Below are 18718 nucleotides of genomic sequence, written 5' to 3'. Positions count from 1 at the left end.
TCAGCCCTTTTTTTTGTTATTATTATTATATGTGTTATGGTGTTCTGTGATCAGTGATCTTTGATGTTACTATGATATTGTTTTGGGGCACCACGAACTACATCCATTTAAGATGGCAAACTTAATTGATAAATGTGTGTCTTCTGACTTCTCCCAGCCCTCTCCCTCTCCTCAGGCCACCCTATTCCCTGAGACACAACAATCATGAAATTAGGCCAATTAATAACTCTACAGAGGCTGGGCGCATTGGTTCTTTCCTGCAATCCCAGTACTCTGGGAGGCTGAGGGAGGTGGATCATCTGAGGTCAGGAGTTTGAGACCAGCCTGGCCAACATGGTGAAACCCTGTCTCTACTAAAAATACAAAAATTAGCTGGGCATGGTGGCATGTGCCTATAATCCCGGCTACTCAGGAGGGTGAGGCAGAAGAATCGCTTGAACCCAGGAGGCGGAGGTTGTAATGAGCTGAGATCATGCCATTGCACTCCAGCCTGGGCAACACAGTGAGACTCTGTCTCAAAAAAAAATAAAAAATAAAATAACTCTACAATAGCCTCTAAGTGTTAAGTGAAAGGAAGAATCTCACGCCTCTCACTTTAAATCAAAAGCTAGAAATGACTAAGTTTAGTAAGGAAGGCATGTCAGAAGCTGAGATAGAGCCAGGCATGGTGGTTCATCCCTGTAATCCCAGCACTTTAGGAGGCTGAGGCAGGAGGACTGTTTGAGTGCAGGAGTTTGAAACCAGCCCGAGCAACACAGCGAGACCCCATCCCTACAAAAAAAAAATGCCAGGTATGGTGCACACACCTATTGCGTGTGCTGTTGCACTCCTCAAGAGGTTGAGGCAGGAGGATTGCTTGAGCCCAGGAGTTCAAAGTTACAATGAGTTATGATCATGCCACTGCACTCCAGTCTGGGTGATGAAGCAAGACCCTGTCTCTAAAACCAAAAATAAAAAAAATTGAGATAGGCTGAAAGATAGGCCTCTTATACCAAACAGCTAAGCTGTGAATGCAAATAAAAGTCCTTGAAGGAAATTAAAAGTGCAACTCCAGTGAACATACAAATGATAAGAAAGTGAAACAGCCGGCCAGGCGTGGTGGCTCACGCCTGTAATCCCAGCGCTTTGGGAGGCCGAGGCAGGTGGATCACAAGGTCAGGAGATCGAGACCATCCTGGCTAACATGGTGAAACCCCGTCTCTACTAAAAAATACAAAAAATTAGCTGGGCGTGGTGGCGGGCGCCTATAGTCCCAGCTACTCAGGAGACTGAGGCAGGAGAATGGCGTGAACCTGGGAGGCAGAGCTTGCAGTGAGCCGAGATTGCACCACTGCACTCCAGCCTGGGCGACAGAGCAAGACTCCGTCTCAAAAAAAAAAAAAAGAAAGTGAAACAGCCTTCTTGCTGATATGTAGAAAGTTTGAGTGGTCTAGATAGGAAATCAAACCGGCCACAACCTTCTCTTAAGCCACAGCCTAATACAGAGCAAGGCCTTAACTCTCTTCAATTCTATGAAGGCTGAGAGGTGAGGAAGCTACAGAAGAAATGTTGGAAGCTAACAAAGGTTAGTTCATTGACTGGGCATGGTTGCTCATGCCTGTAATCCTAGCACTTTGGGAGACTCAGGCAGGAGGATGGCTTGAGCCCAGGGGTTGGGGCCAGCCTGGGCAACATAGGGAGACCCTGTGTCTACAAGAAATAAGCCAGGCATGGTGGCACACACCTGTAGTCCCAACTACTCAGGAGGCAGAGGTGGGAAGATCACTTGAGCCTGGGAAGTCGAGGCTACAGTGAAGCATGATCACGCTGTTGCACTCTGGCCTGTGCAACAGAGTGAGACTCTGTCTCAGTCAGTCAATCAATCAATGTTAGTTCATGAGATTTAAGGCAAGAAGCTGTCCCTGTCACATAAAAGTACAAAGTGGAGCAGCAAATGCTAATGTACAAGCTGCAGCAAGTTAACCAGAAGACCTGGCTAAGATCACTGATTAAGGCGGCTACACTAAACAATAGATTTTTAATGGAGATGAAACAGCCTTCTCTTGGAAGAATATGCCATCTAGGATTTCCTCTTTTTTTTTTTTTTTTTTTTTGAGACAGAGTCTCGCTCTGTCACCCAGGCTGGAGTACATTGGCACAGTCTTGGCTCACTGCAACCTCTGCCTCCCGGGTTCAAGCAATTCTCCTGCCTCAGCCTCCCGAATAGCTGGGATTACAGGTGCAGGCCACCATGCCCGGCTAATTTTTGTATTTTTAGTAGAGATGGGGTTTCACCACATTGGCCAGGCTGCTCTCAAACTCCTGACCTCAGGTGATCCGCCCACCTCGGCCTCCCAAAGTGTTGAGATGACAGGCGTGAGCCACCGCACCCAGCCAAACATCTAGGACTTTCATAGCTAAAGAGAAGTCAATGCCTGGCATTAAAGCTTCAAAGAACAGGCTGACTCTCTTGTTAGGGGCTCATACAGCTGGTGACTTTAAGTTGAAGCCAATGCTTATTTACCATTTTGGAAATCCTAGGGCCCTTAAGAATTATGCTAAATCTACTCTGCCTGTGCTCTATAGATGGAACAACAAACCCTGGATGACAGCATGTCTGTTTATAGCATGGTTTACTGAATACTTTAAGCCCACTTTTGAGACCTACTGCTCAGAGAAAAGGATGGCTTTCAAATTACTACTGCTCATTGACAATGCACCTGATTGAGATGTACAACGAGATTAATGTTGTGCTCTGATGGAGATGTACAAGAGCCCTGATGGAGATGTACAACGAGATTAATGTTGTTTTCCTGCCTGCTAACACAACATCCATCCTGCAGCCATGGATCAAGGAGTGACTTCACTTTTCAAGTCTTATTTTTAAAAGACATTTCATAAAGCTATAACTGCCATAGATAATGATTCCTCTGATGGATCTGGGCAAAGTAAATTTAAAACATTTTGGAAAACATTCATCATTTTAGATGACATTAAGAATATTCATGACTTGGCCAGGTGCGGTGGTTCACACCTATAATCCCAGCACTTTCGGAGGCCGAGACTGGCAGATCACTAGGTCAGGAGATTGAGACTACCCTGGCTAACACGGTAAAACCCCATCTCTACTAAAAATACAAAAAATTAGCTGGGTGTGGTGATGGGCGCCTGTAGTCCCAGCTACTCGGGAGGCTGAGGCAGAAGAATCACTTGAACACGGGAGGTGGAGGTTGCAGTGAGCTGAGATCATGCCACTGTACTCCAGCCTGTGTGACAGAGCAAGACTCTGTCTCAAAAAATAAATAAATAAATAAATAAAAAAGAATATGCATGACTCATGGGAGGAGGTCAAAATGTCAACATCAACAGGAGTTTGGGAGAAGTTGATTCCAACCCTCATGGATGATATTGACAGGTTCAAGACGTCAGTGGAGGGCCAATCACAGTGCCTCACACCTGTAATCGCAACATTTTGGGAGGCTGAGGTGGGCAGATCACTTGAGGTCAGGAGTTCAAGATCAGCCTGGCCAACATGGTGAACTCATCTCTACTGAAAATACAAAAAATAGCCAGGCATCGTGGCGCATGCCTGTAATCCAGCTACTTAGGAGGCTGAGGCAGGAAAATCACTTGAACCCAGGAGGCAGGGGTTGCAGTGAGCTGAGATCACACCACTGCACTCCAGCCTGAGCAAAAGAGCAAGACTCTGTCTCAAAAAAAAAAAAAAAAAAAAAAGGCCAGGCTGGGCATGGTGGCTCACGCCTGTAATCCAACACTTTGGGAGGCCAAGGCGGGCAGATCACCTGAGGTCATGAGTTCAAGAGCAGCCTGGACAACTTGGTGAAACCCTGTCTCTACTAAAAATATTTTTAAAATTAGCCAGGCATGGTGGCAGGCACCTGTAATCCCAGCTACTCAGGAGGCTGAGGCAGGAGAATGGCGTGAACCCGGGAGGCGGAGCTTGCAGTGAGCCGAGATGACATCACTTGCACTCCAGCCTGGGCGATAGAGTGAGACTCCATTTCAAAAAATAATAATAATAATAAATAAAAATAAAAGTAAAAAGTAGAAATACAAAAATTAGCCGAACATGGGCCGGGCGGGGTGGCTCACGCCTGTAATCCCAGCACTTTGGGAGGCTGAGGCAGGCGGATCACGAGGTCAGGCGATTGAGACCACCCTGGCTAACACAGTGAAACCCCAACTCTATTAAAAATACAAAAAATTAGCCAGCCGTGGCGGCGGGCGCCTGTAGTCCCAGATACTCAGGAGGCTGAGGCAGGAGAATGGCGTGAACCCGGGAGGCGGAGCTTGCAGTGAGCCGAGATCGCACCACTGCACTCCAGCCTGGGCGACAGAGCGAGACTCCGTCTCAAAAAAAAAAAAAAGCCGGGCATGGTGGCCGGTGCTTGTAATCCCAGCTATTCAGTAAGCTGAGGCAGGATAATTGCTTGAACCCAGAAGGTGGAGGTTGCAGTGAGCCGAGATCACACCATTGCACTCCAGGCTGGGTTACAAGAGCGAGACTCCATCTCCAAAAAAAAAAAAAGACTTCAGTGGAGGAAGTAACTGCGGATGTGGTGGAAGAAGAAAAAGAACTAGAATTCAGAAGTGTAGCCTGAAGATGTGACTGAATTGCTGCAACCTCATGATAAAACTTGAATGGATGAGGGGTTGCTTCTTACAGATGAGCAAAGAAAGTGGTTTCTTAAGACGGAAGCCACTCCTAGTGAAGATGCTGTGAACATTGTTGAAATGAGAACAACAAAGGATTAAGAATATTACGTAAGCCAGGTTTGGTGGCTCAGACCTGTAATCCCAGCACTTTGGGAGGCTGAAGCGGGCAGATCACGAGGTCAAGAAATCGAGACCATCCTGGCCAATGTGGTGAAACCCCATCTCTACTAAAAATACAAAAATTAGCTGGGCATGTCTGGGCATGGTGGCTCACACCTGTAATCCCAGCACTTTGGAAGGTCGAGGTAGGCGGATCATAAGGTCAGGAGATTGAGACCATCCTGGCTAACAAGGTGAAACCCCGTCTACTAAAAATACAAAAACAAAGATTAGCCAGGCATGGTGGCGGGCGCCTGTAGTCCCAGCTACTTGGGAGGCTGAGGCAGGAAAAATGGCATGAATCCGGGAGGTGGAGCTTGCAGTGAGCCGAGATTGCGCCACTGCACTCCAGCCCAGGCGACAGAGCAAAGACCCTCCACCAGCAAAAAGATTATGATTCGCTGAAGGGTCAGGTGATCGTTAGTATTGTTACGAAATAAAGAATTTTTAATTTTTTTAACATTTTTAGACACAATGCTATTGCATACTTAACAAACTATAGTATAGTACAAACACAACTTTTCAAAAAATGTGTGACTCACTTTATTGCGATGTTCACTTTATTATGGTGGTCAGGAGCCAAATTTGCAATATCTCTGAGATATGTTCGTTTCTTTTTTTTTTTTTCTTTTTTTTTTTTTTTTTTTGAGACGGAGTTTTGCGCTGTTGCCCCAGGCTGGAGTGCAGTGGCGCAATCTCAGCTCACTGCAACCTCTGCCTCCCAGATTCAAGCAATTCTCCCTACCTCAGCCTCCTGAGTAGCTGGGTTTACAAGCGTGTGCTACCATACCCAGCTAATTTTTCTATTTTTAGTAGAGACGGGGTTTTGCCATGTTGGCCAGACTGGTCTCGAACTCCTGACCTCCAGTGATCTGCCCACCTTGGCCTCCCAAAGTGCTGGGATCACAGGCGTGAGCCACCGCACCCGGCTGGTGTGTTCATTTTCATTTGAGTCCTTACTATGTGTTAGGCACTGTTATAAGCATTTTGTGCATGAGTTAACTCATTTAATTCTTGCATCCAAATACTCACCAGGCCTGACCCTGCTTAGTTTCCAAGATCAGAAGAGACTAGGCACATTCAGGGTGGTATAGGAGTAGTCCATTTAATTCTCATAACTCGTTGAGGTAGAAAATATCAATTCTCCCCTTTTTAGAAATGAGGAAACTGAGGCACAGGGAAATGGAGGGATTTGCATGAAGTCACACAGCTAGTAAGTGGCCAATTCAGGATTCCAACCCAGCCTGTCTGATTCCACAGCCCTTGTCATCCCCATCCCCATCCTGAGATACCCCCCAGTTGGGTCGCTTGCTGCTCTTCAGAAGTGTTTCCCCCTAGAGGTGTGGGTGACTATTGTCCTGTGGTTCCTATTGTCATTTAAACTATTGTTTACTTAACAATCCAGTTCATGCCAGAACTGTGGAGTCTAACACTTTAACACTTACTGTGTCCTTGGGTTTAACTCTCTGAGCCCCTGTTTCTTCATCTGTAAAATGGGGATAAAAATAATAGGCTGGCTGTGAAGATTAAAATGAGATAAGGCATGGCAAGAGCTGAGTACGGTGCCTGACACATGATAAGCAGTGTCACATTTCATGAGTTAGTTGTTATTGTTGTCATTATCATTGCCATCATCATCATTAGATCCCTCTCATTCTCAGGAACACCCAACAAGGGAAGAGAAAGAAGTGGGGCGCTGAGTCTGTGCCTTGGGCCTGGCCCCCGATGGCCTAGAGCCTAGAACCTGAATTGGGTCATAGAATCCAAGGACATGCTCTTCTCTACCAGAGATGCTCAAGGGAAGGAAATGGGATCAGCACCACCAGCTATGGGCCAAGCATTATATCCAGTCCCTAAATACCAGAATCCCAAAAGTAACAGTTGAGATGTAAGTATGGCTAGTATTTTCAAGGATATTTGGGAGAAGATTCCCAACCTGCCCCCATTCAAGATTGCTACAAAAATCAAGAGACATTGAGATACCTCCTCTCTGTGAAAGCATATGGAAAACAATCCTACCTTTTGTAATTCAAGGACACTCATCAGTGTGTACTATAAGCTGGGCCCTGGGGAAGCTCCACCCTCAAAAACCCATGGTGAACCACCAATTCCCACTAGGCCCTTGGTTCCAGTCTCAGAGGAAAATGGCAGGTGGCATGGCCCACTGCTATGGCCTGAGGACAGATCCCATGGCCTCCAGGTAATGGACTATTACCTTTGGGAATGTCATGCTCCAAGGAGTCCATGAAATCCAGGGAGGGGTCCAGGTCAGCCTTCTCAAGCAAGGTCTTATTCTTTAGCTCAACAGGCTCCCTGAAATGGAAGTAGGAGCTGAGCTTCTTGGCCTCAGACAAGGACAGTCCTAGAAAGAGGTGGCAGGCAGGAAAATGATGGTTAGCCCAAAACCCCCCAGCCCCCTTTCTGTCTGCACTGGGACCACATGGTAGGGCTTACAAAAGACCCTGTCAACCACTGTCAGAGAGCTAAAGGAAGGAAAGGGATTAGCATTCCCTCAGTCCAAACTCGGACCAGATCCTGCCACAAAGAGAGTCCAGCCAGGCACGATGGTTCATGCCTGTAATCCCAGCACTTTGGGAAGCCGAGGCAGGCAGATCACCTGAGGTCGGGAGTTTGAGACAAGCCTGGCCAACATGGCAAAACCCCGTCTCTACTAAAAATACAAAAATTAGCCGAGCGTGGTAGAGGGTGTCTGTAATCCCAGCTACTCGGGAGGCTGAGGCAGGAGAATCGCTTGAACCCAGGAGGCAGGGGTTGCAGTGAGCCAAGATTGTGCCACTGCACTCCAGCCTGGATGACAAGAGCAAAACACCATCAAGAAAGAAACAAAGGGAGGGAGGGAGGGAGGGAAGGAGGGAAAGAAGGGAAAGAAGGGAAAGAAGGGGAAGGAAGGAAGGAAGGAAGGAAGGAAGGAAGGAAGGAAGGAAGGAAGTCCAAGGAGGAAGGAGATAGGAAAAGGCAGGTAGCCCAGACCCATGTAAAGCCCTGGGACCAAGGGACTATATGCTCTCCCACTCCTCAAACTGAAGAGAGTCAGGGGCCAGGAGATGGGGAGCCCATACCGACCACTGGTGCCAGGTCACTGGGCACACCCTCCCAGGTGATAAGGTCACAGCTACTCCTTCTCTGATAAAGTGTGTAAGCCCCCCTGCTGGACTCCCAGACATATGTTCTACTGTGCTTGGGAAAAGATACCCCCAGCCCTTGAGAGGGGCCCCAGAGAACTCACCTTCAAAGGTCCGATTGACATGGGTGGGTCCAAAAGGGGTCTTGAAGAGGGCGCCTCGGGGGATGATGGCCACAGCCTTGTCAATCTGGTCAATGACAGACACCAAGCGGGTCTCTTCCTTGATCTGGACCTGAGGAGACAGGAGAGGAGCCCCCCTGCCAGGGCACTGTGCCCAGGCACCCCGGCGCAAGGTCCCTCTGCACGGCCATCTCACCCGCACCACTGCAGTGTAGTGGACCCCAGAGCCACACAGATCACGCTGGGCAGGCCCTCGCCTTCCTTCCTATCAAGATTTTCTTCCTTTCTTTTTATTTGTTTTTTAATTCGTAATACATAAGGGTGGTATGATATTCAAAACTACAGGAAAAAATCAGTCTTTCTCTCACCCCAGTCCGAGACCCTAGTTGCCCTCACTGGGGGCAGCCACCATTGAAGGTTTCTCATGTACTCTTCCAGAGGCATACCATCCTATCAGCATATTTAACTGTTGCTTATTTTGCCTTTTTAAAATATAAAAGTAATCATGCTCACTGTAGAATATTTGGATAATATAGAAAGACATACCAAAGATAACTAAAACCACTCATAATCCTACCTCCTAAAGATAATCACTGATAACATATTGGTATACTTTCTTCATGTTTTGTTGTTATTGTTGCTGTCATTTTGTTTTTGTTTTGAGACAGGGTCTCACTCTATCATCCAGGCTGGAGGGCAGTGGCACAATCATGGCTCACTGCAGCCTCAACTTCCCAGGCTCAGATGATCCTCCCACCTCAGCCTCCTGAGTAGCTGGAAGTACAAGCACATGTCACCACATCTAGCTAATTTTTGTCTTTTTTTATTATTATTTTTATTTATTTATTTCTGAGACAGAGTCCTGCTCTGTCGCCCAGGCTGGAGTACAGTGCAGGGATCTCAGCTCACTGCAATCCCTACCTCCTAGGTTCAAGAGATTCTCCTGCCTCAGCCTCCTGAGTAGCTGGGACTACAGGCGTGCATCACTGCACCCAGCTAATTTTTGTATTTTTAGTAGAGACAGAGTTTCACCATGTTGGCCAGGCTGGTCTTGAACTCCTGACCTCAGGTGATCCACCCACCTTGGCCTCCCAGACTGCTGGGATTATAGGCGTGAGCCACTGCGCCCAGTCAATTTTTGTATTTTTGGTAGAGATGGGGTTTCTCCATGTTGCCCAGGCTGATCTCCAACTCCCGGGCTCAAGCAGTCTCCCTGCCTCAGCCTTCAAAGTGCTAGGATTACAGGGTGAGCCACAGCACCCAGCCCTCTATGCATATATTTAAAGCAAAATTAGAGTCACAGTTTATATTGTTTCATATCCTTCTCTTCAGTTTAACATTATTTTGCAAGCATTTCCCCATATCATACCCTTTTTACACAGATGAAATTTAGTTACAATTACTATCTAGGGCAACTCTGAACAAAAGGATTTCATAGAGATTTTGTGGAAGAGCTCGACAGAGAATGCGTGTCAACAGAGGCCCCTAGAGAGTCACGGAGCCACCTATTTGCCATGGGCAGCCTACCTGAATGGTTTACAAAAGAAAGGTAGAAACTAAGCTTTAATAAGTGCTGAGGCCAGTGTCTTTAAATATGTCACCTCATTTAATCCACACAAGCCTGCAAAGTAAATACAATTATCTCAATTTTACAGAAAAATAATAATAAAACTGAGGCTCACGGCTGGGCCCGGTGGCTCACGCCTGTAATCCTAGCACTTTGGGAGGCTGAGGTGGGCAGATCACCTGAGGTCGGGAGTTTGAGACCAACCTGACCAACATGGAGAAACCCTGTCTCTACCAAAAATACAAAATTAGCAGGGTGTGGTGGCGCATGCCTGTAATCCCAGTTACTCAGGAGGTTGAGGCAGGAGAATCACTTGAATCCGGGAGGCGGAGGTTGCAGTGAGCCGAGACCACGCCATTGCACTCTGGCCTGGGCAACAAAAGCAAAACTCCGTCTCAAAAAAAACAGGCTCAGGAAGATTAAGTCAATCAGGTAGGAGTGGGTGAGGATGCAGCTGAGGGCTCACAGACCTAGACTCAGACTTTCGGCATCACCCAGGTTCAAGTGCAACAGCTGTGCTTTGAATTCTGGGATTGTATTGTTTCAAAACATAGGCTCCTTACTTGTTAACTTAGCAAGTCTATTTCCAGGAATTGACTTTCCCAGGAATTACACACAATGGAAGTGATGTCTATATGGTCTTTTTTTTTTTTTTTTTTTGAGACGGAGTCTTGCTCTGTCACCCAGGCTGGAGTGCAATGACGCGATCTTGGCTCACTGCAACCTCCGCCTCCCGGATTCAAGCCATTCTCCTGCCTCAGCCTCCCGAGTAGCTGGGATTACAGGCGCCACTGTGCCTGGCTAATTTTTTGTATTTTTAGTAGAGACGGAGTTTCACTATGTTGGCCATGCTGGTCTCAAACTCCTGACCTCGTGATCTGCCCGCCTTGGGCTCCCAAAGTTCTGGGATTACAGGCGTGAGCCACCATGCCCAGCTATATGGTCATTTATTATGGTACTGTTTGTTAGAACTAAAACTTGGAAATCAGCTGGATGAAATGGCTCATGCCTATAAATCCCAGCACTTTGGGAGGCTGAGGTGGGAGGATTGCTTGAAACTAGGAGTTAAGACCAGCCTGGGCAACATAGCAAGACCCCATCTCTACAAAAAAATACAAAAATTAGCCAGGTATGGTGGTATGCACCTGTAGTCCCAGCTACTTGAGAGGCTGAGGCTGGAGGATCACTTGAGCCCAGGGAATGGAGGCTGCAGTGAGCCAAGATCGTGCCACTGCACCCCAACCTGGGTGACAGAGCAAGACTCTGTCTCAAAAACAAATAAAAATAAAATAAAACTTCGAAACCTACATTTTCATAAATAAGACACTGGGAAAATTATGGTACATTCCCACAATGGTGAAAAAAAAAAAAAAAAACCGGAAGTTGGGCATGGTGGCTCACGCCTGTAATCCCAGCACTTTGGGAGGCCGAGGCGGGCGGATCACCCGAGGTCAGGAGTTGGAGACCAGCCTGGCCAATATGGTGAAACCCCGTCTCTACTAAAAATATAAAAATTAGCCAGGCGTGGTGCCAGGTGCCTGTAATCCCAGCTACTTGGGAGACTGAGGCAGGAGAATCACTTGAACCCGGGAGGCAGAGGTTGCAGTGAACCAAGATCATACTACTGTACTCCAGCCTGGGTGTGACAGCGAGACTCCATCTCAAAAAAAAAAAAAAGAATGGGAAGGCTCTTTAAGACACTGATATAGAAAGATCTCCAAAATATATCATTAGGTGAAAAAAAGCAAGGTTCAGAATCATGTGTATAACATGCTGCCATTTTTTTTTCTTTTTTTTTTTTGAGACAGAGTCTCACTCTGTCGCCCAGGCTGGAGTGCAGTGGCCCGATCTCAGCTCACTGCAAGCTCTGCCTCCCGGGTTCATGCCATTCTCCTGCCTCAGCCTCCCGAGTAGCTGGGACTACAGGTGCCCACCACCACACCCGGCTAATTTTTTGTATTTTTAGTAGATACAGGGTTTCACCGTGTTAGCCAGGATGGTCTCAATCTCCTGACGTCGTGATCCACCCGCCTCAGCCTCCCAAAGTGCTGGGATTACAGGCATGAGCCACCGTGCCTGGCCAATGCCCAGGGGATTTTTTAGAAGGCAGATACCTGATGCTGGGGCCCAAGATCCTACATTTCTAACTCTTAGGACATGGTGAAGCTTCTGATCCAGACTCTACTTGGAGCAGAAAAATTTAGACACACAAGTACACATATGTACACACACATGCACATGCAAAATAGTTAACGTCAGACTGTGTGCGGTGGCTCACGCCTGTAATCCCAATACTTTGGGAGACTGAGGCGGTCGGATCACCTGAGGTCAGGAGTTCGAGACCAGCCTGGCCAACATGGTAAAACCCCGTCACTATTAAAAATACAAAAATTAGCTGGGTGTGGCATCAGGCACCTGTAATCCCAGCTACTCGGGAGGCTGAGGCAGGAGAATTGCTTGAACCCAGGAGGCGGAGGTTGCAGTGAGCTGAGATGGCGCCACTGCACTTCAGCCTGAGCAACAAAGCAAGACTCCGTCTCAAAAAAAAGAAAAAGAAAGAAAGAGAGAGAGAGTTAATGTCCCCTAAATAGAGGACCTGTGTGACTGGTGGACAGAGATGGGAGGAAACTTTACTATATTCCTTTTTGTACCTTTGAATTTTGTACATGCGGATTTATTATTTTGTGAAATGAAAACTGATACTAAAATATAAGAGCCTGTGCACATTCCCTGACCCCAGAGTACAGCACAGAGCACCCCCTCTTCCCAGTCCCCACCCCAGAGCCTACCCACTGCCTTTATCCAGTTGCTTAGGAGGTAGCTGTGTGTGGCCTTGGGCACATCACTTAACCTCTCTGAACTGGTAGGAGAATGTCCTCTTCTCTACCACCTGGAAACCAACTCCATAGGGTTTTAAGGATGAAATGAGATGATACAGGCACAGTAGCACATTGCCTAGCACACCCAGGTACCCAATAACCAACGTGTCACAAAGATAATAATAACATTAGTCATCAGGGATGCTGGCTCATGCCTGCACTCCTAGCTACTTGGGAGGCTGAGGCGGAAGGATTATTTGAGCCCAGGAGTTTGAGACCAGCCTGGGTAACATAGTGATATTCCTGTCCCAAAAAAAAAAAGGAAATAATGATCGTACTTGTTGCCATAATTTCTTTTTTTTCTTTTCTTTTTTTTTTTTTTATAGACAGGGTCTCACTCTGTTGCCCAGGCTGGAGTGCAGTGGCGCGATCTCAGCTCACTGCAAGCTCACCTCCTGGGTTCATGCCATTCTCCTGCCTCAGCCTCCCGAGTAGCTGGGACTACAGGTGCCTGCCACCACACCCAGCTAATTTTTTGTATTTGTAGTAGAGACGGGGTTTCACTGTGTTAGCCAGGATGGTCTCAATCTCCTGACCTCATGATCCACCCGCCTCAGCCTCTCAAAGTGCTGAGATTACAGGCGTGAGCCACCGTGCCCAGCCTGTTGCCATAATTTCTATTAGGCTGGGTTTTGGATGAGCCCAGGCTCTCTTTTAGGCCCTCCTCCTGCTCTCCTCTTCACTCACCACTATTTCTTCTTCAAAGACTTTTTCACCTTCATTCACCTTCTGCAGCTCAGTGTGTTCATATTCGTATGATGGGTCCCCCATGAAGCGGCCCTTCACCACAGACGACTGCGCCACCATCTCCTCTGTGGCAGGGGGCAAGAGGCTCCACTCTGTGCAGTTCAGGCTGCCAACAATATTCACATCACCCCTGGATTCCAACTCCCTTCTCACCCACTATTCCTATTATCTTCCCTTCTGTCTAGTGGGTTGGGCCCAGGAAAAGCTGTTGAAATGGCCACCTTTCCTCCCAATGCTGTCGTGAGACTGTTAGAAGCCCCAAGTGCTGACTGGGCACGGTGACTCACACCTGTAATCCCAGCACTTTGGGAGGCTGAGGTGAGCGGATCACTTGAGGTTAGGACTTTCAGACCAGCCTGGCCAACATGGTGAAACCCCGTCTCTACTAAAAATACAAAAATTAGCGGGGCATGGTGGCACATGCCTGTAGTCCCAGCTACTCAGGAGGCTAAGGCAGGAGAATCGCTTGAACCAGGGAGGCAGAGGTTGCAGTGAGCCACGACTGCACCAGCCTGGGTGACAGAGCAAGACTCTGTCTAAAAGAAGTCCCAAGTGCCAATGGTGAACCCACTCCTCATATGTAATAAACAGATTCAATTTCATTCATTCCATGTATGCTGAAATTAAATGAGCCTCTTCCTAGATATCCGGACTGTGAAATTCTGGATGAGTTTCTGGTAGCTGAACTTTCCTCAATTGTGTGGATCCATGTTTTGGTGGGCCCTAAATTCATGCTCAGCCTGCCCACTGAGTCAACAGCACAACCATTTCCTCCCATTTCTCAGGAATGCCCAGCCTATGTTCAAGAACTTCTCCTCTGAGGCCTTCGGGAGCACTCACCAGGCCCACCTGGTTCCTTCTTTCTCACTTCCTTCTGCTGGGAGAGGAGGTCCTTCCCACTCCTCTCAAATATACCCTGGGCCTAGGTCCCCAGCCTGGTCTCTGCTTATCCTCCTGCCCTTCACTCTCCACCAGTTCCCCCTTAACATAAAAATGGCTCAGCTGACCAGGCGCGGTGGCTCACACTTGTACTCCCAGTACTTTGGAGGCCGAGGTGGGCAGATCACACGAGACCAGCCTGGCCAACATGGTGAAACCCTGTCTCTACTAAAAATACAAAAAAATTAGCTGGGCTTGGTGGCGGGCGCCTGTAATCCCAGCTAATCAGGAGGCTAAGGCAGGAGAATCACTCAAACCCAGGAGGCAGAGGTTGCAGTGAGCCGAGATCACACCATTGGAATCCAGCCTGGGCAACAAGAGCGAAACTCCATCTCAAAAAAAACAAAACAAAAACAAAAACAAAACAAAAAAAAACTGCTCAGCCTACTAAAACAGCAACCCTCCAAATCCATGTCCTTCTAGAAAATGCTGTTCCTGTCCTTCCCTCCCTCTTTCCCAACTTTCAACAATAATCTCAGAACAACAATTGCCCTGTGGGGGACTTTCCTCCCCTTCCTTTTCACTCTTCAGCCCACTGTGCCATGATTTCTGCCCCACCACTTCAAGAAACTGCTTGGGAGAAGGCCATCCTTGACACCTAACGGCCAAGAAATGCATCTCCAGTTCTATTTCCTCTGACATCTCCCTTCCCGCTCCTCCAGGGCCTTAAGTATTTCCAGGGACCCATTCTCACCCCTCTTTTCTTTTTGCAATCTTTCCCACCTGCCTTCCAGAGCCCCAGCTACTGCCTAGTCTGTATCCAGAATCCAACCACTTCCACAGCTCCCACCTTGGCCCAAGCCACCATCCCCTACTGTCTAGATATTGCCATCGACTCCTAACTAGTCTCCCTGACTCCACATCTATTCCCCCTTTGGACTAGTCCCCACCCAACTGTTCACACCTAAGCTGTCATGTCACTCCTCTGCAGAACCTTCCAATGGCTTCCAATTAAGCCAAGTCTTACAATGCCCCACAAGGCCCTGCATGATTGTTTCCTACTCCTCACCTCTCTGACCTTGTATCCTACAACACTCCCCTCACTTATTCTTCTCTAGCCACACTAGTCTCCATGCGGTTCCACAAACACACTAAGCACACACTTGCCTCAGGGCATTTGCACTTGCCTAGAATTCTCTTCCCTCAGATATTTACATAGCTCACTCTCTCAGTCACTTCAGGTGTCTTCTCAAATGTGACCTTATCAAAGAGGCTATCCCTGACCAAACTATTTAAAATAGTACCCCATCTTGTATTCTTTTTTTTTTTTTTGAGACAGAGTTTCGCTCTTGTTGCCCAGGCTGGAGTGCAATGGTGCGATCTCAGCTCACCGCAAACTCCACCTCCTGGGTTCAGGCGATTCTCCTGCCTCAGCCTCCCAAGTAGCTGGGATCACAGGCTTGCAACACCACACCTGGCTAATTTTGTATTTTTAGTGGAGATGGGGTCAGGCCATGTTGGTCAGGCTGGTCTCGAACTCCTGACCTCAGGTGATCTACCTGCCTCTGCCTCCCAAAGTGCTGGGATTACAGGCATGAGCCACTGCGCCCGGCCCATCCTGTATTCTCTATCCCCTTTAGCTTTTAACATCATCTGACATCTAATAGATGTGTGTGTTCAGCTGTTGTCTATCTTCCGTTCCCTGCCCCCTGAACACACACTACAATGTAAGCTCCATAAAGACAAGGATTTCATTTACCACTGAACTCCTGGTGCCTAAATCAATGCCTAGCACATGGTAGCACATAGTAGGTGCTCAGCAGATGCTTATAGAATAAAATGAAATGAATCCCAAATCTCTATCTTCAGTTCAACTTTTTCTTCTGTATTCTACATCTGTACTTTAATATACCTTCTTAACACCTTGTAACTCAGGCACCTCACATCAAATTCACTATGTCTTCCCTAGTCCTGCCCCTGAATTCTCTCCTACTGAGTGGTGCTGGTACTTAACTTACTCAGCTGCCTAAGCTAGGAGGGGTCAGCCTTAACCTCTCCTTTATAACCATCCTTATTCAATGAGTTACATGTCCTGACAATTCTAGCACTTAAATCTTTCCAACCCATCACCTCCTCTGCATTCCCTCGGATACCTCTTCCTTTCAGGCCTCATTCATATGGACACTACAATGGACTCCTAACCACAGTGCTCACCACACTTTCAGGCCATTTTGCCCACTCTGATCGGAGCAGGCTCTTCTTGCAAGCCCCTCAGTAGCTCCTCATGGCCTATGAACAAAGACCCATATCCTTTTGCCTCTAGAACCAGTTCTACACAACATCATACTACTGTTCTCCCAAACACTCTGAGACTTCCCCAGCCAACAAGTTTGTCTAACTGTTCCCTAAATAAATAGGCCGTTGCTGGCCTATTTATTTTTAAAGTTTGTTTATTTATTTATTTATTTGTTTTGAGACAGGGTCTCGCTCTGTCACCAGGCTGGAGCGCAGTAGTGATCCATAGTTAACTGCAGCTTTGAACTCTCGGGCGCAATCCTCCCACCTCAGCCTACCGAGTAGCTGGGACTACAGGTATGCACCACCATGCCCTGCAAATTTTCCTTTTTTTTTTTCTTTTTTTTTTTTTGAGACGGAGTCTCACTCTGTCACCCAGGCTGGAGTGCGTGGCATGATGCCAGCTCACTGCAACCTCCGCCTCCCAGATTCAAGTGATTCTTCTGCCTCAGCCTCCCGAGTAGCTAGGACTACAGGCGCCCGCCACCACGCCCGTCTAATTTTTCGTATTTTCAGTAGTGTTTCACCGCGTTAGCCAGGATGGTCTCAATCTCCTGACCTCGTGATCCGCCCAACTCTGCCTCCCAAAGTGCTGGGATTAAAGGCGTGAGCCACCACACCCTGCCTTTTTTTTTTTTTTTTGTAGTGATGAGGTCTTGCTATATTGCCCAGGCTGGCCGAATGGACTGCTTTGTAAGGTAGTAAGCTCCCCTTTAGTCAAAAAGAGGCTGGCCGGGCATGGTGGCTCACGCCTGTAATCCCAGCACTTTGGGAGGCCGAGGCGGGTGGATTACTTGAGGCCAGGAGTTCGAGACCAGCCTAACCAGCATAGTGAAACCCTGTCTCTATTAAAATTACAAAAATAATAAATAAATAAATAATTGCCAAGCGCGGTGGGTGATCCCAGCACTTTGGGAGGCTGAGGCGGACGGATCACGAGGTCAGGAGATCGAGACCATCCTAGCTAACACGGTGAAACCCCGTCTCTACTAAAAATACAAAAAAAAATTAACCGGGCATGGTGGCGGGCGCCTGTAGTCCCAGCCACTCGGGAGGCTGAGGGAGGAGAATGGCGTGAACCCAGGAGGCGGAGCTTGCAGTGAGCCGAGATCGAGCCACTGCACTCCAGCCTGGGCGACAGAGCGAGACTCCGTCTAAAATAATAATAATAATAATAATAAATAAATAGCCAGGTGTGGTGGCACGTGCCTGTAATCCCAGCTATTTGGGAGGCTGAGGCAGGAAAATCGCTTGAATCCGGGAGGCGGAGGTTGCAGTGAACCAAGATAGCGACACTGCACTCCAGCCTGGGTGACAGAGCAAGACTCTGCCTCAAAACAAAAATAAATAAATAAATAGCTGGATGGTCCTGTATGGTAGTGACCAGGGAATTTTCCCCAGCTCTCTCCCCATTCCGCATTCGTTCTCTATTTCCAAAAGCGCCTCCAGCTCCAGAGCAGATACCTCTATCAAAGAGCACCACCCTCTCCCTCTGGCGTCTGACTCTTCTCCAAACTGAGCCTTCTCCAAACTGAGCCAGGCCCAGCACTTGGCTGGAACCTGGCTTCTTCTCCAGGTCCGCATTTTCCAGAAACCTTCCCACTGCTTCACCTGCGTTCTTGGCCCTGTCTCTCTTATAAACCCATCCGCATGTAAGTTTCTCTTGGCCTCCTCAGGCGGAGAACAAGCTCTCGCAAGGCCCCGCCCTCCGGGGGACATCGCCCGTCCATTGCCCCGCCCTCTCAGGCTCCGCCCTAGCCTCAGATTCCGAGACATCCCCATCCCCGCCCTTTCCCTCAACCACCTCTTGACCGTCCCCAGGCCCGCCCCCCAGGGTCTCCCCCATTCCACTCATCTCAGATCCCGCCCACACCTCCCTTGGCCCCATGGGCCCCGCCCCTTTCAATTGCTGCGACCCGCCCACCCCGCCCTGCCTCCAGGTAGCCACCCTCTGGGGAGCCCGTCCCGGGGGCCTCCTCACCTATAGAGCGTCTTGCGCGGTGCGAGCTGGTCCTCACTCAGGCCCTGCGCGATGTAGTAATCGGCGACGAGGCCAAGGATGCGGCCCCAGAAGAGAACCCGATCATAGCGGTAGTCGCGCTTAACCAGCATAAGAGACGTGAGCAGCGAGGCCCGACGGTCCGGGCTGAGGCCCTGCCCACTGCCGGACGCCAGCTCCAGAGACAGCAGGAGGCTGTCGGCGTCCATCAGGTCAGCGGCTCCGCTCAACGCCCGTCGAGTTGCTAGGAGAAGCCGCCTCCATGGAGACCT

The 18718-nt window shown here is 48.4% G+C and overlaps 1 protein-coding gene across 7 annotated transcripts in view, besides 1 other annotated feature; it reads right to left on the bottom strand.

The window, feature by feature from the left end:
- RSPH9 (radial spoke head component 9) overlaps nt 1-18718 on the bottom strand; it is a 27565-nt gene extending 8847 nt beyond the window's left edge. For 2 of the 7 annotated variants that reach the window (NM_001424119.1, NM_152732.5), the window contains exons 1-4: nt 18429-18718; nt 13214-13379; nt 8063-8192; nt 7031-7177 (exon numbers count right to left, since the gene is read on the bottom strand). In NM_001424119.1, coding sequence (NP_001411048.1) covers nt 7031-7177; nt 8063-8192; nt 13214-13379; nt 18429-18655 — 670 coding nt within the window. In that variant the 5' untranslated portion in view covers nt 18656-18718. Of the gene's footprint in view, nt 1-5894; nt 7178-8062; nt 8193-13213; nt 13380-18428 lie in introns of those variants that run through there. The other 5 variants (NM_001193341.2, NM_001424120.1, NR_187614.1 and 2 more) reach the window with 4 other exon arrangements.
- Nucleotides 1539-1728: an enhancer, noted in NCBI's record as "active region_24607". NCBI's record gives its function as "activates an Ori minimal core promoter by ATAC-STARR-seq in GM12878 lymphoblastoid cells {active_cell/tissue: GM12878}" and the evidence as "EXISTENCE:reporter gene assay evidence [ECO:0000049][PMID:35858748]".

This window comes from Homo sapiens, chromosome 6 (assembly GCF_000001405.40).
Source record: "Homo sapiens chromosome 6, GRCh38.p14 Primary Assembly".
Classification (NCBI taxonomy): Eukaryota; Metazoa; Chordata; class Mammalia; order Primates; family Hominidae; genus Homo; species Homo sapiens.
Note: the sequence above shows the minus strand (reverse complement) of the source record. Positions and strands in the feature narration are given on the sequence as shown.